Source organism: Homo sapiens, chromosome 11 (genome assembly GCF_000001405.40).
Source record: "Homo sapiens chromosome 11, GRCh38.p14 Primary Assembly".
Lineage (NCBI taxonomy): Eukaryota > Metazoa > Chordata > Mammalia > Primates > Hominidae > Homo > Homo sapiens.
The window spans coordinates 21,565,130-21,590,612 of record NC_000011.10 but is presented as its reverse complement, the minus strand read 5'-3'; the positions used below and the strand labels follow the sequence as shown (position 1 = coordinate 21,590,612).

At 35.8% G+C, this 25,483-nt stretch overlaps 1 protein-coding gene across 4 annotated transcripts in view; it reads right to left on the bottom strand.

The window, feature by feature from the left end:
• NELL1 (neural EGFL like 1) overlaps positions 14,927 to 25,483 on the bottom strand; it is a 906,136-nt gene continuing 895,579 nt past the window's right edge. For all 4 annotated transcript variants that reach the window (NM_001288713.1, NM_201551.2, NM_001288714.1 and 1 more), the window contains 3 exons: positions 19,673 to 19,849; positions 17,204 to 17,428; positions 14,927 to 15,641 (listed from right to left, as the gene is read on the bottom strand). In NM_001288713.1, the coding sequence (NP_001275642.1) occupies positions 15,591 to 15,641; positions 17,204 to 17,428; positions 19,673 to 19,849 (453 nt within the window). In that variant the 3' untranslated portion in view covers positions 14,927 to 15,590. The remainder of the gene's footprint in view (positions 15,642 to 17,203; positions 17,429 to 19,672; positions 19,850 to 25,483) is intronic.

The following is a 25,483-nucleotide window of genomic DNA, read 5'->3' as shown; positions in this document are numbered from 1 at the left end:
CAAATTACTGCTGAGGCTTGAGCTCAAAGTTGTCTTCAGAGATAGCCTATATTCTTAAATAAGTGTGATATCCTTCAGAGAAGCTTATGACCAGCTGCACTGGAGAAGACCCTAGTGAACTCAGAGCCATTAAAGAAAGGCTGATCTATAACAGTTTAGATGAACACAACTAGAATTGAAAGGTCCTGAAAGTAAAATGAGAAAGGACAACATCAGGTCATGGTCCAGGGTAATGCAATGCTAATGAGGAAATTGGGTAGGAAGTCTACTTCATGCAGATTTTTTGAATTGAGGCAATTCGTGGCAACACCAAAGGTGACAATCAAAAGTGTAAAAGTAGCCAAATACTATTTTTTTTTTCAGGGATAAGATGGGTTCCCTTTATGGGAATATTATCTTAGACATTCTGGGGTCTTTGAAATACGGCAGAAATTGTTGAAGTGGTAGCAAACCCTGTGTCTAAATATGTAAATAAATCATCAATCATCCAATAACAGACACTTCTCACTCTTACTGTGTGCCATAGTTTTCTTACTAAATATATGCTTAACTGAAATGTTGCATGGATTGTCTTTTTTTCAATAAGATAAAACAAATCAATTCTACAATAAATAATGATGCTTCGGGGGAGTCTAATTTAGAAGTTATTGAGGGAAAATACATAAAGACCTTATGGACACAGAGTATCTAACTGTGGTATTAAAAGTGAGATTTAACTTCCTTAGGTCATTAAGTTCTAACAAAGGTACTTTGTCCATTAGAGCTTCTATAAGAAAATATCATAAACTCAGTGGCTTATCAACCACAGACATTTCTCACAGATGTGGAATCTGGGAAGTCCAAAATCAGGGCACTGGCCAACTCAGTGTCCAGTGAGTTCCTGGTTCATGGGTGGCACCTTCTTGTTGTGTTCTCATTTGGTGGAAGGGGCAAACAAGCTCTCTTGAGCGTATTTTATAAGGACTATAGGACGCTATCCAATTTATGAGGTCTCTGCTCTCTTGGCCTACTGACCTCTCAAAAGGCCCCATCCCCTAATCCCATCACCTTGGGGGTTAGGGCTTCAACATATGAATTTTATGGGGAAACAAACATTCAGACCTTAACAGCTACCATTTCCCTTTTCTCTTTTTTTTAACTTACATCAATGCCACATGTTACCAGCTGTTATCCAAGGGACAGGTGATCCTATCTCTTTCAAGAGTATGCATATCTGTATTCTGTTGCCAATCAGATCTCCTAAAATAGATGTTTGATTTTTAGGAGTTGTGGGCAATATCTGCAGTTTAATTACAAATCAGTCTAAGAATAGAAAATGGAATTGCAGATCAATCAAATAGAGAATGAGCTTCTGGGGCAAACTGGCCTATGAGCTATTTGTAAAACCAGTCCTTGAATTTTCCAAGAATGCTTTTTCTCCTGGCTCCTAGGAAGGTTGAAATAAAGGGAGAAGTTAGTAGAAGATTGAAAAGTAGAGGGAGGGTAGAAATTATTGTCCCTCTGCCTTGAGCAATGTTCTTAATAATGGTTGTGCTTCCCCTGTGGCTCGAGCTCCCACCCTGCTTCAGCCTTGGCCATGACTCTGGTTTCTGTGCTTTGATAGCACTACCTCCTTGTCATTCCTCTCAAGACTTCCAGCTGCAGCTTATCTCTGGATTAGCTCCTTCTGTTTAGCATCAGAGCTCTTCCAACACGTGTGGTACTAATCCCTTGTATTAAATTCCCTCTGCTTGATTATATCTAACATTGTTCTGTTTTTTCTCACTAGACCCAACCCCAAACATTCAGTGATGAGAATAAAAGGCAGAAGTGTAGTTGAGTAACTTAGTAAACAAACAGGTGAACAGAAAAAAAAAACCCCATAATTTAAAAATTATATTCTAGTACAAACAGTAAATGCATGATTAGCTCAGTTGGGGAGTTGGAGGTTAACTCACCAGCAGGGTCAAATCCCAGCCCTGCCTCTTAAGAACTCTGCAACCCTAGGGAAATTATCAATAGTTAAACTCTCTGCTTCAGTTTCCTCATTAGAAGAATGGTATTTAAAATAGTAACATTGTCATATGCTTATTCTGCACATTAAGGAAATTATAACTATCATAAAGGAAATTATCAGTAATGCCTAGGTCACAGAAAGTAACAAGTGTTCTAATAACCCCTCTACTTCTTTAGTGTCTTGGTAATACTTAGAATTTTCTTGACCATTCTAGGGTTATTTAAGCTGTTTACAGACTTAAAAGTTATCTTCTAAAGTAAGGAACTTCTACTGAACTGATAGATGAAGATATGGATGAGTAAATTAAATAATTATATGAATGAATAGAACAGTGCAGAAAAGAATGAATGAATAAACGAATGCCTAAAACTTACACATTAAAGGTGAAATAAATGGATGAATTCCCTGTCCACAGAGACTATGTTAAGAGTCCAATTATTTCATACAATTCACTCTTTTTCTTAATCCTCAGAGGGAGACTGGAAAGAGGATTATATGCACCCAATCTACTCACACTTTTTTTGGATATTTAAACTTTTGCTCTTTTTTCCAGTTATTCCACTCCCTTAAAGATACACCCTCTAAATTCACTGACACCATTCTATTGCAGCCTTAATAGCTTTCAAAACCAAAAGTAGCAAGAACAGGAGGATAGAAGCCAATGTAGGAAAAATGTATCGTAAGGATTGTAATCAGAGAAGTTCTTGGTCAATGTTTTTTCTGGGATCACCTGTTCTCTGTGCCACCCCTGCCCCACCCCCAATAATGCTGCTATTTCTCCAAGTATATTTGACTCGCCGCTCTGTAGATGTCTTGGTTCCTTTATTCCAGAAGACCTAACACAAAATTGCAGAGTTTCTAAAACCTCTGTGGCAGGTGCTAAAGGATCAGGAGTTGTCAATGCTGAAATATTTTTTTCCTATGTTTAACTTCAGAATTGGATTATCAAAATATTTTCTCTGCTCATTATTTCATTGTTTCATGCTTTGCCCTACAGGACCCTTTAAAACTTGGCCCCAACTCCCTCATTAAACTACTTCTTACTATTTTCCCCTAGCTCTTATTTCACCAGGATATCAGTATGAAATTACCTACAGGCATCATACCGTATCACTCCTCCATGAATTTCTTAAGCTTTTCTCATTTTCTGGAACACTATTTACCACAGCCTTCCTTTAAATATTTCCATCTCAATTTAGGCCTCCTGAGGCTTTCTCTAACAACTTTTCCCTTCAAAGTGTGGGTCACGTGCTTTTCCTTTTTACTTTCTTAGCATCTTATAGTGAACTCTATCACAAATTTTAACACATTATCCTAAAATTCATAGTCTATAACCCCTTATAAATGTTAAGCTCCTCAAGGACAAGGACTAGTATTATTTCATTCTCATTTTTTAACTTTTAAGTTTAGGGGTATAATTGCAGATTTGTTACACAAGTAAACTTGTGTCATGGGGATTTGTGGTACAGATTATTTGATCACCTAGGTATGAAGACTAATACCCATTCGTTATTTTTTCTGATCCCCTCCCTTCTCTGAAAGGCCCCTGTGTATGTTCCCCTCTATGTGTCCATGCATTCTCATCATTTAGCTCCCACTTACAAGTGAGAACATGTGGTATTTGGTATTTGGTATTCTCTTCCCTGACTGACACACAGTGGGTGCATAAGAAATACTTTTGTCCTGAAACCAGTTCAACATGTATGCTATATAATTTAACCTGAGAGATTCATTCTAGAATTTTTTTCTTATAATATATATAATTTAAGCAATTGTTTTTGTTTTTATTCTACATTGGTTTTGGTATAAATCATCTAGATAATTGTATCTGGAAAAGATAATTGCAGCATCTCATACCTGCTGTTTTAATGTTATGTTAGTTCCTTCCTCTCCCTAAAAATCAAATTATAATGTCTATACTTTATCTAATTGGATTCTTGATGTTTCCCTTCCCTGGGAATAGGCAGAAGAATCATTTGTCTATTCTTCGGCATAAGACAGTAAGTGTTAGTATCCGGGTGAAGAAGAGATGGCCCACCTGTTTCAGTCACTCACAGGGATCTTTTTTAGTAAGATTTCATTCTGAACACCCGGATTTGTTTTTTTTTTAGTATTTCTATGAGATATAGTTCAGTCATGGGCAGTGAGTAAATACTGATTGATTTGTCTTGACTGGGCAACTACAAAAAAGACCACTTGACAGCTCACATGGCTGGGACCAGTTGTAGATTTGGGGAAGCCATGCAAGAAGGGGACATGTGAGCCACTCTACTCCAAGTCTTCTCTATGGTTTGAAAAGTTCGTTTTGTCTCCCTCTCTTTTTTTAAGTGAATTTTATTGTGTATAGTGGAGGTTTACAACATGATGTTATAGAATACATATAGATTGCAAAATGGTTACTATATTGAAGCAGATTAACAAATCCATCATCTCACACAGTTTTTTGGTGACAAGAGCAGCTAAAATCTACTTATCTAACAAAAATTTCTAATGTAATACAATTTTTTAACCATAGTTCTCATGTTGCACATTAGATCTCTAGACCTGTTCACTCTACATATCTGTTTGTTTCCTTTGACTTACATCTCCCCATTTCATGCCCACCCCCACTTCGTAACCACTGTTTTATGATTTGTGTGTATTCGATCTTCTTTAAAACACATTCCACATATAAGTGAGATCATGCAATATATTTCTTCTATATCTAGTTTATTTCACTTAACACAATGTCCTCTAGGTCCACTCATGTTGTGGCAAATGGCAAGATCTGCTTTTTTTAAGGCTGAATAATATTTTATTATATAATATATATATAATACCTAAATATATATTATATTTTCTTTATTCATTCATCTATTGATGGGCACTTAGGTTGTTTTCATATCTTGACTATTGTGAAAATGCTGCTGTGAGCATGGAAGTGCAGATACCTTTACAAAATAATGATTTTTATATCCTTTGGATATAAATCCAGAAGTAGGACTGCTGAGTCATTTAGTAGTTCTATTTTTAATTTCTTTAAGTAACTGCATACTATTTTCCATAATTCTGTGCTAGTCTACATTCCTACCAACCATATACTAACTTTCTGTTTTCTCCACTCCCTTGCCAACATTTGTTAACTCTTATCTTGTATGTAATAGTCATTCAGATGGGTGTGAGGTGATATTTCAGAGTGGTTTTAATTTGTATTTACCTATGATTAGTGATATTGATCACTTTTACATATATCTGTTGGCCATTTTTATGTATTCTTTGGAGAAATGTCTGTTCAGGTCCTCTGCCCATTTTTAAATCAAGTTATTTGCCTTTTATTATTTTAATAATGCCACCAAATATATTGTTTATCCAGACATTCCCTCCATTTCTTAACTCTGCAGAGGAATAGGGTATTCTGCATGTACATTTTATGGTAAAGTGTTTCTTCTCTTGCAGGTTTTCCAAGGGAAACAATACCCAGCCTTTTTAGCCACCTAATATTTTATTTATTAGAGCAAATGACTTCAAATTACCTGACTTGTATTTGCCACTGAATTTCAGTCTTTTAGCCAGTAGATAATAATTACCTACTTGCATGCAACTACGTACCTATAACATAACTTTTTATCATCATTCCACTTGCCTATACAGCCTGACAGCAGAATTCAAGTGCTGAACAATTACATAATTTACCCAGCTTGTTAGAAGTTCTTTTATCTTTTTAAAACTACCTGCCACACCCTAAGTGCCCTCATATGTTGCTCATTCATCTCCTTGGAGGGAAACAAAAGCATAAGATATGTGTTTGTTTGATGGCTCATCAATACAGCTAAGATATTAAGATATTTTGGATTCTGAAGAAGAGCAGAGCCCAATCCTTTGCCAGCTACTTATGTAGCTGCTTTAGGAAATGAGACAAGAGGGAGTAGAGCATCTTAAGAGGTAAAAACATCAAAAAAGACTCCTAATAATAACCCATTCATTTAGCATCTGTAAGGCTTATGTACTTAATAAAGTATCTCTTTTTAAAAAAATTCCATTTTAAAAAATGGTACATGTGCAGGTTTTTGATAAAGATGTATTGCATAGTGCTGAGGTTTGGGGCTTCTATTGATCTGGTTACTCAGATAGTGAACATAGTGCCCAATGGGAAGCTTTTCAGCCCTTGCCTCTCTCCTTCCCTCCATTGGAGTCGCCAGTGCCTACTATTCTCATTTCATAAAGTATCTCTTAATTTTGTAAAAGCCCCTCAAGATACATAGTTTTTACTGCTTGTTTTAATAAACAAAAATTTTGACACTCTAGCAGGTTAGTAACTTGTTCACAGTTGACCCAACTAAGAGGTAATGTAACTGAGATTCAAACCCAGGTCTGTCTGGCTCCAAGACTTGTGCTCTTTCCACTTTAAGTTTGTTCTCATTCTTCTTCCCCTTGCCACTGTATTCTCCAGCCTCTATGGTACATGTGACTTTATTCATATGGTACAAGTGGCTTTATTCATATGCCACACTGTGGCATCAAAATAATATCCTGTGACCTCATCCCATGCTCCAAACTCTCCTATTACACACCTATTACATTAAAACTGTGCAAAACAGTTAACTCAGCACCAACAGTCAAATCACAACCAATGTCATTTATTCATTTCTGAGATTGAGGACCCCCAACCTCCTACAGACCTGCTGACTGCCCCTGACGATGCTCCTAGATCTCCAGGACTGTTGAGCGAGTCTGCTTCCAATTGCATTGATACCACAATCAGTCACTGTTCATATGCTGCTTCACAGAGATCTTTCAAAGTAGCTTATAGAGTCTTTGTCCTAAAAATTAGCAACATGAATCCCTAGCCTTCAGAGTTGCTTTTTTTTTTTAATGGAAATGTGTTGTATTAAATCAGTGCAATGCTGTGTATTGTATCCTTTCATATGGAAAGAATGTCATTCCTCCAAATGCCTGGAAAATTGTTTTCTGTACCTTGGTGCTCTTAAATAACATTGTCAAAAAGAAATGCTCAGTAAAATAAGCATTCAATATCTAGCATAAAGATAAGTTAGTAAGTCATTGAAGAAATAAGCATGATCCATAGGCAGTTGGTTTCTTCACATTGAAGAAAGTTCATTGAAAAAGAAATGCGCAGGTGCTTAGACAGGAAGTTCTCAGGACAGTCTCCATAAATCCAACCATCTTTTGGTGTTGTGCTCCAAAGCTTGAGCTAAATACAGGGGTTTGTTTTACTAGCTTGAAGCCACTGCATACTGTCTGTTCCTCACTTTTGCTATTTCACATTACGTGGGCTGTTCACAAAGGCCAGTAAGGCCCTTTTTCTTTATCCTAGTTCTGTAGATTCACTCCTAAATTTTGTCTTTTTTATAATATATAATTTTTTCATGCTCTAAACTGTGGACATTTTTAGTAGTTATGTCCATTATGGAGTCGGAGTGATTTCTCATATTTTCTAAGACTGCTATGTAAAGCGACTAGAAAGATAAATCTCTCCATTGAAAAGCAGTGTAATTGAACCATCTAGATCCAGAGTAGGGAGGCAGATGATGAACAAGCTTCTGCCAGGCACTGGACAGCTGGATGCATTTCACAGCTCACAGTGCAACCCTGTTCCTGAGAACAAAGGAAGAGTCACAAGTCTGTGAGAAAGCAGTAGCAGGATGGCTTCAGACAGCTGAATATAATTACCCATCTTATCCAGAATGTGAAAGTGAAAATTAACAGCTGTTGAATCATGAACTAAGAGAATCCTTCTAGCCATGCATGTGCCAGGCACATACTATTTCATCAAATGCAACATAGCAAAGTCCTATCTAGAATTATAGTAAAAATGGTGGTCCCTCAAGAACCAGAATGTATCTCAGATCTTCTGCAACCCAGTCCAGACCACTTATCTTGACAAAAAGACCTGCTCTAATCTTCACTCATGCTACCTTATTCACCATGCATACTCTCTTCTTTAGCCTAGTTCTTCCATTTCTCTGCCTTCTTATTTCAAGGAAAGTCTTCTTGTTTGTAGTATTTTAAGGCAACCTCAAGTCTTCCTCTTGAAATCTTTTCTGGCTATTCCATATAGCTTTAGCTTCAGAATCGCAAAACCTCTGCCCGCAGCTGTATAAGGCAAGGTCATTTGCCCATTTCCTCATCAGTAAAATGTGGACTATTGTCTCCAACTTTTAGAATTGCTGTAGGCATGGATTGATGCAACATTTGTGTAATGTTAAGTACAATTTCTGTCAAGTAGTAGAGTAGTTCTATATTAGCTTTTTCCCCTCAGCTCTTAGAACACAGAACCGGGGTGAGTTGCCCATTAAACATTGATTTGATAATTAATTGAAATGTAGTTGTTAGCCTAGGGTCTGTTTCCTGAATACAAAATTACCACATTTCTTCAAAATGCCCAGAGATGAATTATTTGCAACTCTTTTTGCATGAAATGAAGGGAGTCATGAGTAAATCTAAATGATAAACTATAGTAATAAATCTAATTGTACAATTAAGAGATGACAACTGATATGGTATAATACCATCAGGTATGCTAGGGAAATTTATTCTTATCTTGGTAGGCAAAGGGAGATATTTGCAACATATACATAATGCTAAAAGAGCATCCATCTCAAGCTTTGTTTGGAATACTGTTAAGTATGAGGCCAGCTTGAAATCGACTTTCAAAGTAGAATTCATAAAGTTGTATGGGTCTCATTGAAATTCCAGATAAATATTTGATTGACTATTTTTCTGTTGTGTAGTCAGAATCTGTTTTTTTGTTTTTTGTTTTTTGTTTTTTTTTGCTGTGTGTATATGTGTTTAAGACAGAGTCTTGTTCTGTCACTCAGGCTGGAGTGTGGTGGCACAATCACTGCTCACTGTAACCTCCAATTCCTAGCCCCAGAGATCTTCCCACCTTAGCCTTCAGAGTAGCTGGAGCATAGGTGTGCACCACCACCACCGGTTATTTATTTATTCATTCATTCATTCATTCATTCATTCTTTGGTAAAGACAAGTTCTCACTATGTTGCCCAGGCTGGTCTCCACCTCCTGGTCTCAAGAGATCCTCCAGCCTCAGCCTTCTGAAGTAAAAAACACCTTGTTTGAAATGAAGTGGTATTCGCTTCTTAATTTTTTATAATTCCCTCCTAACTCCATCCAGGGTTTTAATCCTTTGAGACCTTCAATTCAATTTTTTTTCTAGAGAAAAATTCAGTATTTAGAAGTTATTGTATATGTGTGTTTTGTACACTTTGAATATCAGGGCATCTTTTCTATATGAGAATGAGAATTATATAGACATGTATCTAGTCCAGTGTATAAGTAAGGCTTATATTGTAGAGAAAAGAAGAATTAGAACTCTTTATTACATAATCGCATTAAATTAAGATTTTTTAGGCTTTCTTGATCAATCAATGTTTTGTCAGCTAAATGATGCCCCCTGACATAAATTTATAAGTCCGTGTCCAAATCCCCAGAACCTGTGAATGTTACCTTATTTGGAAAAAGTGTCTTTACAGATATAATTAAGTTAAGCATATTGAAATGAGGAGGTAATATTGGATTATTTAGTGGGCCCCAAATCCCATAGCAATTGTCCTTATAGGAGACACACAGAGAAGAGAAGCAGACAATGTGACCACAGTGGCAGAAATCAGAGTAATGGGGCCACAAGCCAAGGATTACCTGGAGCCATCTGAAGCTGAAAGATGTAAGGAAGTATTTTTCCCTAGAGCCTCTTGGAGGGATCATAGCCCTGCTGACACCTTGATTTCAGACTTCCAGACTCCAGAACTGTGAGAGAATAAATCTCTTGTTTTAAGACACCAGGTGTATTATAATATGTTAACAGCAGCCACAGGAAACACAAGCTACTCTTAATTTTGATGCTCTCCACATTACATAGGGAGTCTGTTTTCACTCTCTTTAATCACAAATTTTTTTAGGTCTGCTGTACCTGTATTTATTCTCTGCATCTTTTCTTATATGCTGAATAACAAAAATGAATGATGAGCACTCCTTTCTCAGTTGGACTGCAGCTACCAAGATGCTCTGTTATTGTTATGAAGAGGGTATTCTGGGCTTTTCTTTCTTTACCTCTCCAGGTGATGCCCCAAGAGCCTGCCAGCAGCTCCTTATGCTTTCCATTGACTCTGTCTACCTGGACTTCCCCGGTCTCCTTTGCTTTGTCTGGTTGTGAATCAGAGTGAGGCTGGAGCGGGGAAGATCTTGGGTCCAACTGTCATGTTCTTTCAACAAACTGCCATAAAATTTAATCATCATCAGTACACCTATGACAATTAATCCATAGTTGTTGTCTGGACAATGCACAGTTCAGGTAACAAATAAGACATTTCAATCTTAAACCTTTTGAATGAGTACATCCTACAAACATATCATTTGTTTCAGAAATGGAAATATTTATGGTGGCTGATGATGCCTTCTAACAGTAAGGTAGGATGCTGATGTTCCACTCACTTGAGAAGCAAGTGTTCTCCTTCTGGTAGAAATGAACTAATTACTAGAAATACCCACATTCATACTTTGCTGAAAACACAAAACACTGAATAAATTCTGGGGATTAGGTACCAGTAAGTGCCATATAATTACAGTGAATGAAAAATGGGGGAAGAGTGCAGTTAGGATAAGGAGCAGAGCAATTGATCTATTGACCTATAAAATTTGGAGTATTAGGTATCTTCTAGACTTTCCAGTGGCCCTAAACCAGGTCTGTGACAAATTGATCCCATGGGTCATATCAATCCATAGATGTGTTTTGTATGGTATGAATTTATTCTTTCAAACCTGGATGAAAAATGTAAAACTCATATCACACATTAAAATTCAAATTTATGCCTTTTTTTGAAAAATTAGAAAGTGCAGGAATACTGAGTCCACATTCTCAACTGGCAATAATCAGCTAACAATCAATGGAGACCTTTGAGGTATGCATTCTTATTGATGTTGCAGTTTTCATCACTCCCTCCATTAGGGACTTCTTTAAATCGCATTGTCCCCTATAATTTGGTATGTTAAAATCTGTTCAAAGCCTCTGTAACTCTGATTTCTAGTTTAGTTGCCTATTCATTAAATAAGTCATTTTCAAATGTCATATATGAAATTAGGTAAAAAAAAAAAATCCCTAGGAATGCCTTGTACACAAGGAATCAGTTCTTTTTCCAATATTATTGAAGGTGATTTGATTTTGCATTTAAAAGAAACATTACCATTTCCCACACTTAAATTCATTTTGCTCATTACATTATTGAAACAACAGTGCTAAAATATTATAAAAGTATGTAAATGTCCCTCTTAACGTTGTGCATTTTTTTATCATATGAGATTGGCATATCAACTGCCATTTAATCTAGATAAATGTTAATTTCCATGTGTTTAAATGTTTCTGATATTTGGCTTCTCAGTTCCTAAAATATTGATTTGCTGCCTCAAAAATAAACCTTTTATTTTTTAAAAAATTAATAACTCCATGTATTGAAAGGTTGCTGGAAATTATATAAATATCTTTTTTTTTCTGGTAACCTAAATTATTTCCACCCAAAAGCTTTGCATTATATGGTGGACCCCAACTTGGAGAGCTGACTACTACATTCTAGTGCTGTTGTAATAGTGGGGGTAGTTGTTACTGTCTCTAGACTAATGAAACAGATTCTCTTCTTCCTCTCTGTTTCCTTATCCCAGTTTGAAACTATAGTATAGGATGACATCACAGTATTGAACTAGACAACTGATTATGATTGCAAAGGGCAAGAACTAAGAAATCAAATGAGGGTACTGAAGAGGCAGCAAATAAGTGTAAAGGCTCTATTTTTTGGTAAGCATTCTTTGAATTTATTTATGGGCATATTATGTCATCTTTTTATTGCTTTATGATAACTCAATCTAGATATTAAATTTCTAATGGAAAAGATGATGTATTTTTCTTCTTATATTCTTGCTAGGTACGTAACAGGAATTCTGTAATGTTTACTGAATAGTAATTAAATATGAATTAATTCAAAGCTAAAAAGCAGATTGTATAAACATGTAAGTCCCTGAAAGAGTGGGTAAATAAATGTATAATTGTTTAATAGGTTCCCATTGATCTCAGAATGAACATGGGACTGGCTATATTAGGACTATGGGCTGCAACATCTGCTCCAGCCTTCCTCTTCAGCCTTGTATCATTTGTCCCTTCACTTACTGGCTTCTGGCTCCACTGATGACCTTCAACACACCATACTTCTTTCCACCTTGCAGTCCTTATGCACTTATTTCTCTTGCCTGGAAAAGTATTTCCATAGCACTTTGTATGTATGGCTCTTTCCCATTCTCCTGGTCGCAGCTTGCCTATTACCCCCTTAGAAAGCTCTTCCTTGGTCACCTCACCCTATATCTAGTGAGATTATCCAGTTCCTCCCCAATTTATCACTTCACAATTTTTTTCCTATTATTAATATAGTAGTTATATTTCTCAATTATTTTCTAGCTTATTGTCAGTCTTTTACATACGAGGCTGCAAAAGCCATAAAGAGTAATTTTTGTCTTATTCATCTCTGAATTTGCAGAGCCTGCCACACTACCACTGAATTAATAAATAGTAAAGGGTGAATGAACAACAAAATCATAAAACAGGCTATACATATTACCTCTTAATGCCAGATTCTATTGTATTCTGAGGAGTGTGTGTGTGTGTGTTTTCTAATCCTAAGAAAAGAAATAGTTGCCTTTGGAAAATGTTTTTATTTTCCCTCAGTTATTTTCCTATAAAGCATAAAGTTGGGTGATTGGGTAGATGGCTCATTGCTATTATGGGTTTAGATATGCTATATGGTCTTTAAATACAAATGTTTCACATAACCCGTTACCAGAATTTTAATAAAGCAAAGTCACAGTCAGATGGGACATAGAACAAAGACAATAACAAATACTACACCTCATCCAAGATTGTCTTTTAATGTCATCCATTCAAAAGGAGTTTAAAAAGCTCACTTGGGATTGAAATGTGGAAACACATTTGGAATTCTTAGCAGAATGGCACAGGGAAAAAAGGTGTGGGTTGGGTGGTAGTTATAGGTCATCTATGACTAATTAGTTGTTAACTCTGGGCAAGTCACTTAACCACTCTGAGTGCTGATTTCCTTTTTTGTAGAAGTTAAGGTGAAGAAATAGGTCAGTGGCTTTCCAGCTGTGCGCCGTTGAAAGTTGTGAGCTGTGGTGGAGTGTGTGAAGGTATTCCAGTTCCAACACCCACACCAATCAGAAAAACTCTGCTTTTAGCCAATTTCCACATTGAAGGACTGAATACATTCTGATTTTTAAAATGAGTCTCATGCTTAAGAATATTTGAAAACCACTAGAGTGGGTTTCCAATATCATAAATTTTTGATACTATGAAAAATTATGAATTCAATATTTGAAAGACTTAATTGAAAACCCACTATATGGAAGGCACTATGCTAAATACTGGTAGATGAAGACTGTACCCAATTAGTATATAATCTAACCTATAGCCTGCAGCCATATGTTTGTAACCACAATTCAAAGAAAATGTATTTTAAAAGTTCATATCAGTACATAAGCACAGATCTATAAAGTTCAGAATTGGGGAAGTTCTGGGAATGAGTGTATATGTGTGTGTGTGTGTGTGTGTGTGTGTGTGTGTGTGTGTATTTACATATATATGTTATGTATGAGTAGATTTAAATATAAATGTATTGTAGGATGCATGAATATAGATTCATATGTAGTATATATAACAAATATACAATGTTATATATAACATATATATACACACATATATTCATATGCAACCTGGCTGTAACAAATGAGGCAAAATTGTGTTCATTAGATATGTGTCTAGTTAATGTGTGGAACTTTCATCTTTCCTCATATTCCACTGAATCACAATGCTTTTATGCTATTAATAATGAGATTTAACACGAGGTCATAGTTCACCAATCCCTGACATATTCAGTCACAAATAATTCTTGTAAATGTCTTTGTTTTTTTCCAACAAAAATTGAAAAGATTTTTTTTAATTGTTGTAAATTTTTCAAAAAATATTATTAAAATTCTCTTCAAGGTTTCATTTAGGGAATTAAAACAGAGATGTGTTCCAATTTACCATATTAGTCTTTGTCAAATGTAGTATTTAAACTGCTGTTATCATAATTCAATACATAAAATTGATTTTATGTAATGAACTTCATCTTCACAAAAAAAATTGGGTATCATTTCCACTGGACAAATACCAATGAATAATAGTTGTCTAAGCATGTAATTTTAAATTAATAATTTGGCTAAAATTTGATATTTAAATTTTTTTAGCATGACTGACTTAACTAGTCAGGTCTTTTTTTAAGTTGTGGAGTGAATGAGAATCCAAAAACCAACTTAATTCAGAGTAATGATGAATTCAAGAGCTGTGGGTATCACAAACCACTGAGATGTGATTTACCTGAAACTATAACCAAGCTTGAATTCTCAGCTCAGATATAATGTCATTTGAGCATTTATTCATTTTGTAAAACTTAATAACTGCCAATTCTTAAAAATATGGTATTGGCTCAAGTGGAAACATTCACTGTTCCAAAATAACTTCTGAGCATACAAATAGATTATCTTAAAGGTGTCTCCTTCATGTATATGAGAGGCAATGTAGTTTAGTAGAAAAAAGCACGGAACAGGAATTAGGAGACTTGATTACCAATCCCAACACACTGTAAATCAACAAATTAGTTGACTGGAACTCCTTAATTCACACTTCTGTAATATAGGGACAATACTTCTGACATGTACTATGATTATAACTTTATTAGTAACTAACTGGGATGCTTTATAAAGGATCAAGTACTACATAAATCTGACACAAAGGTAATTTTGCTTTCAAAGCCAAGAAAAGCTTTAAACATTGCTGCTTCTAAATTGCAGGTTAAATTTTTTGTATTTTTATTTTTTTATTTTTGCAAGAGAGACAAGAATTCTCTTTAAAATTATTCTTTGATTATGTTTTTGGCCCTTCCCCTCTTTGTCATACTTGGCTTCAGCCTGTTTAAGCTGAATGAGTAGGCATTTAAGAAGGTTCAGCACTATGAAATGTATGTATAATGCGACTGGACTCTACATACATATTTTCATCAAAACATTTTACAGGGATCTCAGCACTAAGTATGCAGTAGATGGGACAAAAGTCACAACAGGCAACTTTATTTTAGAATTTGATCCATAAATCAACAAAATAAATAAAAGGAGCTGAGTCTCTCTCTATTATGTTAGTACACAAAATAAACCAAAAAATACATCAACATTTACCATGAGATCATTTAAATGTATTTGCAAATGATCTGATAAGGGAAACATGATTTACAACACGGGAAACTTCTTTTAACAACCATTGACTTAAATGCACGGCACTGTAGGTCACCTAGACTAGGTTAGCAAGAATGAGCAAAGTGGTAGGTCCAAAAGGCAACCTCCAAACACCGTCCTCAGGTGGAAACTTTGGCAATTATCTGTGGTTAAAAAAACAAAACAAACAAAAAAACCAAACTACCGATTCCTATCCTTAATCACGTTGGATGGTCATTTCGTCCATTCTTCTGCGTTGAGTCCACTGTAAATACTTCAATTATTTTGAAGACACTCAAAATCCACAGAACAACAGACTCTTCCATTCTGTACATCAAAGAAACATGTGTTAGCCAGTTGAGACATGGAATATAAATTAGCAGTCTGCAATTTTTATACTCAAAACAACTTTCAGCATTTTGAGACAAACTTCAAGAAGGCTATAAAAAATGACTAGAAAAAAATGCTAGGAAAAAAACTAGAGAAAGAGTAGAAAGAAAGGAAGGACTGACAGACCCTCCAGGGTACTGCTCACTGGGATTCTGCTAGCAGTTCAATTTCACACATCACCTGCACTCAATCCCTGCTTGGGAGGCCTCCCTGGGATTTCCAACTTTTCACATGACCTGTTTGCTGTACTTATTCCAAGCGAGATTCTTTCCAAAAATAAATCCCTAAAAGATAGCAATTTGTCATTTAAGAAGCTATTTGAAAGTACCCCCAACAATCTTCAGGCAAGTCCAAGATGGGGTCCAGTAAGGTTTGCATAAAATCTCTCATGGTGACTATGAAGGGGATAGTGCATAGTTAGGTATATAAATACTTATAAATTCATTAAAAATTTTATGTACTAATGTAAATATACCTTTATAATTCCACATAATTATCAAATAAGTAACAGAGGTCTCCCTGTGTCCTGGTCATTTAGTTCTCTGGGACTGAAGGTACAGATGGGACCATGGACCTTTTTCTATATGAGGTCTGATAGTATCCTTTTTCTACTGGGGCTACATCTTAAGATGATACTTTCCCAGAAAAAAAAAATCTACATTTATAACAGCATAAAGAGGCAAGTTGGGAAGCTTCCACTGATGCTTGAAGCTGAGCCAGGGTTTGATGGGACCAAGTAGGCTCCTAGTTTTAACATGTTTAATCATGGGAATCTTAAACAGATATTTTGGCAGATATTTGACACTAACTAATGATTGTTCCAAATCAGCTACCACTCCAGCTCTTCATGAGCTTTGAAGGGAGAGAATGGTCAGTTTTTTAGTCTTAATGACACATGAGGATGTCTCATGAAAACCCCTCCAAAAAGACAGGGAAATAATCACTGTTAATGAAATGCTGTAGCAAGAGCTGCAGGTCCCCACCTTAGGCACTCTGATAATTAAACAAAGCAAAACAACTTGAGAGGACTTTTTTCCCCTAACATTGACAGTTTAATAAAAGAACTTAGAAACTTTTCCAGGATGAAAGGAAGTTGACTGGTTTCCTTCCTTCCTCCCTCTTTCCCTCCCTCCCTTCCTTCCTTCTTTTCTTTCTACTTCCCTTCCTTGTTCTTTCCCTTTCTTTCTTTTCTTTTTATTTAATATGCATGTCAAAAGAGCCTAAGTTAGTCATAATTAAGCCAAGAATCACTTGTCAAAATTATGTAGTTCAAAGGCAGGAGCAATTCTTTTATTTCATGCTCATTTGGAATTTGCCTTTTTACAGGGTGCAGCTATGATAATATTCATACATATTAAATTCCTATGAGAAGTAAATGTATGCCAGAGTTTCCACCATGTCCATTGAACCTGTGTATTCAGAAACATCAGGAGTGGACCTCCTGCAAGTGTTCTCTGGCAATTGTTCAAGGCTTCAATATCCGCAGAACATCCAATTACCTTGCATTTACAGGTTGTGCAGGGAGATCCAGCCATCGTCCACACTGAGCCACTAAGCCGTGAAACACCATAGCTGTCCAGGCAAGTTTTTCTGATGTCATAGGTGATGTTATCAGCTAGGCAGGGGTCACTGACACAGCGGGGACAACATTCCCCTTCTAAGATAGCTGTATACTCACAGCTCAAGTTGGGGCAAGTGAGTGGCCAGCAATCTACCTCTCCTTCCTGTAGAGGAAAAGCAAAAAATGTCTCATTATTGTTCCTATGCATAATTTTATTCCCAAAGTCATAGAAGGGGAAAGAGAGCACAGTAATTCTCATCACTGAATATTTCTAGTTGACACCATTGAGGATAAAGTACACTTCCTCCTTGAAGACCTACTACAGGTCTCACTTCTTTCAGAATGCTTTTGCTGATCATCTATACTGCAGGACATAGAAAGAGCTAGGTGAGCTTCTTTGTGTGCCAAGCACAGCCTATAATTATTTTAACATGATACTTATATCATAATTAGCACAATTCCACATTAAGTTTTGAGCTTTCAGACTTTCTGCTTGTTACTTTCTCTCCATCATGTTTAGCACAGTTTTGGTCAATAAAGGCTAATAAATAAATTATAAGGTACTGTCTAGTATATAAAGAGCAATTAATTTCTCTTAAGTTCAAAAGCAGAACCTGAAGCACTGTAATATTTCAATCAAATTTAAAGTTAAGATTGGGCAATGTCAAGATAACCATTTCAGAATGGTTTTGAATATAACATGTGACCACTGAACTTTCTAGATTGCAGTTCAAATGGAGCTTTTGTGTGTCTCAGCATCTGGCATCTGTGGCTTCATTGAGCTGCCCACAATAAAACTATTTCACTATGCATCCTCTTCCTCTGCTATCATGAATTATAATCTATGGCATAATACCTTACAATATATGGCAACTTATTTAATTGTTCAGTCATCTCCATAAGACTGTGGGCTTTGTGTAGGTATAGGCCATGTTTATCTTGCTCACTGTTACGTCATACAAAGTTTGGCACATGAAAAGTCTTGAATATTTATTAAGTATGACCCACAGTATTCTCAAGTAATTCATAAGTTATGTGTTTAACAGCTTCAATTTTCCTGAGAAATATTCATCTTAGGGGCTAGGATGGAAGAGGATACACTTTTGAAATTCTATCTATGAAAATTTCATGCATCAAATTAATACTAATTCTTCTGGATGCCTGATGATTAGCTTCTTGGAAAAGAAATGCAATTTGCCAGTCTCATAGGGAAACTAATTCTACAGTTGTATTGACTTTTTTTGTCCTTGGGTGGGAGTTTTAAAAAATGACTACAATTTTTATTTATCTGAGTCATGCTTCTCAGTCATAGGAGTGATTAAGAAAGACATATTCTGTTAAGATTATCTGCACATTCACCTGAAGATTTAAAAAAATCTGATGGAAATTTAGAGCATAATTTATCTGAATACTTGTTTTCATACAGTACCCATAAAATGAGAATCATTCATGTCAGCAAATGTTAAATTACGGACACACAGCTAATAGTTTCCATTACCAATCAACTCAGAATGTTCCATAGTTGTGACTTTACATATGGGACATCACATTCCATGACAATGTGTCCTAGAAGTCTTCCCACTGCTAGAAATCTTTGTGATATAATTTGAAACTGAAAGAACCAGGTCAAGAAATTAAGCCTTTTCTCTGGACTTTCTCAAATCTAATTATACCATTAGTAGCCCTATATTAATATTTATAACAACCTTCATTTTTTCCTTTTTAAACATGTAGTATCTGAAAAGATTTTTCAAGGTAGGAAGTATTAACAATAGTTACTACCATACACTAAGTACCTTCTCTAAGCCAAGTACTGTATTTGTCCTTCTTACATATCTTGTAATCTTTGTAACAGCCCATTCTTTCCCTCAGAGGTACTCACATACCTGTGTCCACTTGAGGGCCAGAATAGTCAGTAAAATGCTAGGACTTGCCCAAGGTAATCATTTTAAGCTAGTATGTGGGAGGACCACATTTAGATTCTAGGTCTCTATGATTAAATCTCTGATATTTCTACTATGTTTTGTTACCTCTTATATTGAAATCTTTAAGGGTTATGGCACAGAAATGAGAGATTTAGCTCTGTCAGGACTACAAGCACTAGTCAAGGTTTTGAAAGCTTCCTTTCTTGCAGAGATTTTTCTTGATCTTGATTTCTTTTTAGTAATAGCTGTAAACTGTCATTGTTTGGGTCAAATCTGTCCCATAAATATGTGCTTTTTACTTTGTACAGTATTTCAAATACAACCTGAATATCTTTAGGAAGAGAACATGACCCTTAGCCACAGGCCCCACAGAGCTCCCTGTATAGTATTATGAAAAACTGGGAACTAGGTCCCACAGACAACTGAATTTGTAACCTCTTTCAGAGTAAAGGCTCAACACCTTATAAAGGAAGCCAACATACCAGACACCGACACTGCTGACAGCTATGGGTCCAATTGTCTCCACTTCGATACAGCTTGTGACCATTTTGGTCTAAACATTGACTTGTGACTCTGGTGTCACATTCTGGGCAACAGAATAGGTCAGCACTTGGATTCTGGCAATCACAAGCTGTCCGTCGGCAGAATATCTTGCCATCCTGTTTAGAAATGAAGTTAAGGAGGTTTCATCATTTAGGACATGATGGACAGCTACACTAAGAGAAATGAACTTCTTGGATGTTTGGTCACCCCCTGGCCACCTCTCATTCTGTTCAAAACTGAAGCACACATGTGTGTTCACACAAACACACCCTTTCTTTCCCTGATTTTGCTTGCAGAGCAGAAAAAATAAAAATAGGAACATTTTTAAGTTTAACAAAAAGTCAACATGTTTTTTGAAAATCTTTTTCAAAGGGGTTCTTAAAAATCGTATTTCTAAGTAAGAATTATAAGTAAGCAGCTAAAAATGCATATATGATCAATAAGTCATTTGAGTGGAAAATCATGCTCCTGTATTTCCATGCTACCACTTAACATATTCAAATACATTCATCTAACTATATCCCTGTCCCAACCGTGAAAGGAAGTCTGATTATGCCCTTTATACAGAAAATTAACGTAGACCCAGAGAGGCTAAACCACTTATCCAAGATGACATAGTTAGGTAGTGGTTCTCCAAGCAGCACCACCAATTGTTATGGTCTCAAAATATTCTTTGGCAAGATCGCCTTAAAGTTGTGTACTACAGGGGTGTATAATAAGGTGCCTCTTTCCACCTTATGGCAGTTCCCCATATTGTAAGCACAGTACAATTTTTGAAGTATTGTCTTTGAGGATTCATAGCTATAAAAAATTGAAAGTCAGCAGCACTTAAGCAGTAAGAGTAAACATTTTGCAGCATGTCTTTTTTTTATGTCTGTTGCTTACAGTAATTTCTTAAACAATGTTCTTCATTGCTGAAAATTTAAGGTAAGACCTGTCTGTCATCACCATTCATGCTAATAACTAATTTGCTGAATATTTTAAAAAACCAAAGAGTCTCAGGGCTGCAAGTTACCTTAAAGAACATATAACCAAGCCTCCTGACCTACAGTTGAGGTCATATTCAACTGCTGAAGTGCTTGAGGCTCTCAGTCTTGGATTCATCACTATGGAGAGAATTCAGTGTGCATCTCTGTACATGTTATAATGTAAAAAATCAGACTTCTCATTACTTCTATCCATTGACCCGAATCCATACCTTCAGTAATAACAGAACTCCAAACACTTTGTCATGTTTCAATTCTTCAGTTTTTAGAAGACAGCTCTTATGTACTCACTGAGATGTTTCATCTCTGGGTAAACACCTCTAACTTCTTGACCAGTCCCCATCATTTATAATCCTTTCACTGTCATAGTTGCCTTCTCTTTCAATGGTTTTAAGTATATATCATCATCATCATCATCATCATCATCATCATCATCATATTCTACCATGTATTTAATACTTATCTTGTGTCATGCATTGTGCAGAGGCATTTACATGCATGATCACATTTAATCCTGATAATTTGTGGAATGCGAATGTATCTCTCTATTTCTCAAATGAGGTAGCTGAGAGAGAACTAAATAGAATTATTCAGCAATGGTCTTTGAAGAAAGAGTGAATTGAATTTAATGCTCACCTTGTTTTAAGTGTTGTAGTTTCTTTAATGCAGGCTTTTTTTTCAATAAAGTCATGTGCCACACAATGAAATTTTGGTCACTGACATACTACACATACAAAAGGTGGTCTTATATAATTTTAATGAAGCTGAAAAATTCCTGTCACCTAGTGACATCGCAGCCATTATGTAATGCACTGTATTACTCATGCATGTGTTTGTAATGATGCCTGTATAAACAAGCCTACTGAGCTGCCAGTTGTATAAAAATATACACCTACAGTCATTTATAGTACATACTGCTTGATAATGATAATAAATGGCTAGGTTACTGGTTTATGTATTTAGTATACTATCTTTTTTAATCATTATTTTAGAATGTATTCTTCCTACTTATAAAAAAAAAAAAGAGATAACTAAAACAGCCTCAGGCAAGTCCTCAGGAGGTATTCCAGAAGAAGGCATTGTTATCATAAGAGATGATAGCTCTGTGCGTGTTATTGTCCCTGAAGACCTTCAAGTGGGACAAGACATGGAGGAAAATATGGAGGTGAAAGACAGTGATATTGATAATCCTGACCCTGTGGAGACCTAGGTTAAGGTGTGTTTTTGTGTGCCGGTTTGAAAAAAATGTTTAATAAGTTTTAAAAAATTAGAAAAAGCTTATAGAATAAGAATATAAAGAAAGTATTTTGTACTGCTGTACAATGTGTTTGTGTTTTAAACTAAGTGTTATTACACAAGAGTCAAAAAGTTACAAAAATTAAAAAGTTTATAAAGTAAAAAGTTACAATAAGCTAAGGTTAATTTATTGAAGAAAAAAAATCTTTTTCAAAATTTAGTGTAGCCTAAGTATACAAGGTTCATAAAGGTACAGAAGTGCACAGTAATATCCTAGGCCTTCACATGCACCCAACATTCACTCACTGACTCACCTACCATAACTGCTAGTCCCGTAAGCTCCATTCATGGTAAGTGTTCTATACAGGTATACCATTTTTTGTCTTTTATATGTATTGTTATTGTACCTTTTCTACGTTTGGATATACAAATACTCACCACTGTGTTACAATTGCCTACAATACTAAATATAGTATCATGCTGTCCAGGTTTATAGCCTAGAAGCAATAGACTATACCAAATAGCCTAGGTGTGTAGCAAGCTATTCCATCTAGGTTTGTTTAAATATACTCTATGATGTTGATACAGTGATGAAAAAGCCTAATGACTCATTTCTTAGAATGTATCCCTGTCATTAAGTGATGCATGACTGTATTTACTTCTTTGACTATGCCATAGTGTTGGCTAATATTGAGCTTAATGAAGACTAAAACCTCATTAAGCCTTATCTCATCTTGGGCAGTTGGCTGTTTAGGGGCAGCAAGTATACAACTTGATGTTTATCTCTGTTGCATTTCATATTGTTAGATCTATTTCATCTCTTCTTCCTGTCACAATGCTTTGCAAATGTTATTTATGTCATTTACTATAGCTCACCGTCCTTCACAGCTTAGTGACATCTGAAAACTTGATGGACTTGCCCTCAGGGTCTTTATCTACTTTATCCACAACAACGCTGAATAATCAGACAGGACTTGCTGAGATGTTTTGTGTCAGCTAAAGTGGAAACCTTAAAAGCTTTATATTCTTTAAGGAGAATGGAAAGGAGACATGCCAGCTACATATATAACAACAGGTTGAAAAATGTATCGTGTGCATTGGCTCTTTTACTATACAAATAACAAGAAATCATAGTGTTCCAAAAATATCAAGAGATGAAAGATTATACACACACACATATACATTTGCATGTGTATGCAAACATGTGTATATAGAGAGCAAGCAAGAGACTCTATATTTTAGCAAGTGAATTCAATCAGAGAATCCAGCTAGTCAGGACAAGGAAGTGTCCTGATCCTAGGAATTTCCCAACAATAGGCCTTTGGTTTACAGCTCATATACCATTATTTTAACTCAGTAATATATTTTGCTTGTGTCACCATGGCCCCAAATGACTCCCTGAAGACTTACTTTAACCAACAAAAACTAAGCAAAGTAATGATAGCTACAACACAAAACCATTTGATCAGCTCAGCTTCCAATGGCACACTATCACTCTTCCCAAGTGTAGAAGGATCATGCCTTAGGAACCAGCATGTCTGTGTCTGTGGCTGGCATCAAACAAAAGGATAAATTCTTTCAGAAAAGGTCGCTGCACAACAGGCTATGAGACTCAATAAGAATGTCAGTTTTCTTCCTATGTGCTGATTAAAAGAATGAATAAGAATAAATGGATAGCCTCCAGGGTTAGTGCAAAATAAAGCAATTTCATATCTCATCAATTATGTGAAAATGCCAAATAGGCCCCTCTTAGCTTCTAACGTGTTTCAGAACAATGGCAATGTTCACTTTGCCTTTGAATTACAGGGTAACTGTCAAGAAAATCATTTTTAATAATGAAAATGTCACAGGTGACTCCATTAATACAATGAGAATGCCATTATAAAACATCAGCTCACAGAGCACAATCACACTAGAAACTAAATTTGGGGAGAGTATGGAGCTCACTGATGATAAGTAATCCTTTTATCAGAGATCTTTGAGGCTGTTTCCAGAGCTTGATCTCTATCCTAACTTGGGTGGTTTGAACAATCCCTACTTATATGCCAAAGATGTATTTTTGCAATCTTCTGCCACAGAAGCTGTTTTGATGCAATTTTATACTGCAAGTTCAATGATAAGCAATTAATAATTATTCTAATATTTAAATTGCTTCTGAATTTTAAAAAGCAGGGAAATAAAGTTTCCTATCTGGTAAAAAAAATACATTTTTTCTTATGCCATAAAAATATTATAGGTTTTTTGCTATTAATTACAAATTTTAATATGGAATAGTCAGTATTTCAGTAATATTTCAGTATTTCAGTCAATATATCAGTAAATACTGATATATTTACTCCAGATTACATAATATCACTCATTTTTTTTCTGCCATAGAGTTTTGAAACTTTTAAATCAAGAAGGTGGACGTAGGTCAGATTATTTCTGTAAAACAGTAATATAAACTTTGGGTTGGAAAACGGATGCCCACGGTACAAATTCAACCTGATGCCTGTTTTTGTAAATGAAGTGTTATTGGAACACAAGTTCCCTTGTTCATTTACATTTTGTCTGTGGGTCTTTTTCACACTGCAATGGCAGAATTGAGTATTTGGGACAGAAGCTTTATGGTCTACAAAACATGAAATATTTACAACATGACTCTTTAAAGAAAAAAACCTTGCTGATGCCTGATATAGACTATGAAATTAGGGTTGGTAATCTAGACGCACCTATTCTACTTTCTCACACACAAATTGAGCTGTGATTTCCAATCTTTTTACAAAGTATTAATTTTGCCTTCAGGTCACAGCCCACAAACTGGTCTCTTAGTCCTAACACCTGGGGTAGAAACACATTTAGCAGTCATTTTATCCAGTTATCTCATTTTAATGAAGAGGAAACCAAGCCCAGAGAGGCAAATGCCTTTTCCATGTAGAAAACTAATAACAAAACAGAAACTTATCCCTAACCTGAACTTTCATAACAATGATTTTCCACTGTGATGCACCTTTTGTATCGTGAGGAGGCTAGGGGATAGGAAAAACTAATTTTAGATAAAGTGATATCAGAAGTATTCTTGGGGCAAAAGTTTTCAAAGTGGCAGTCCTCAAACCAGCAGCATTACCATCTCCTGGGAACTACTGAAAAATGCAAATTCTTGCACCCCACCCCAGATCTACTGAACCAGAAAATACTGAGGGTAGAGCCAGTGATCAAAGTTTCACAAGCCCTGCAGGTGATTCTGGTGCAAAGCTTCAAAATCATGGAGAAAAAACATCACCCAGTCAGATGGGGAGGTAGCATGGTGTAACGTTCAAGCTCCTGCAAGGTCAAAACAGGGTTTTGAACACTACCACAGGGGAAAGAGTCAGGGAAATAGAAAGAGACGCCCTGTTCCTTTACAGGACCCCTAGAGTTTTGAGTGCCAAATGAAACCTACCAATAAGTTCCTCTTTCCAAGGAAAAGAAACACAATCTTACAGCTTGCACAGCTAACTCCAACCATCAAAACCACCACAGACAGGAAAATATTTATAATGCTGCTAG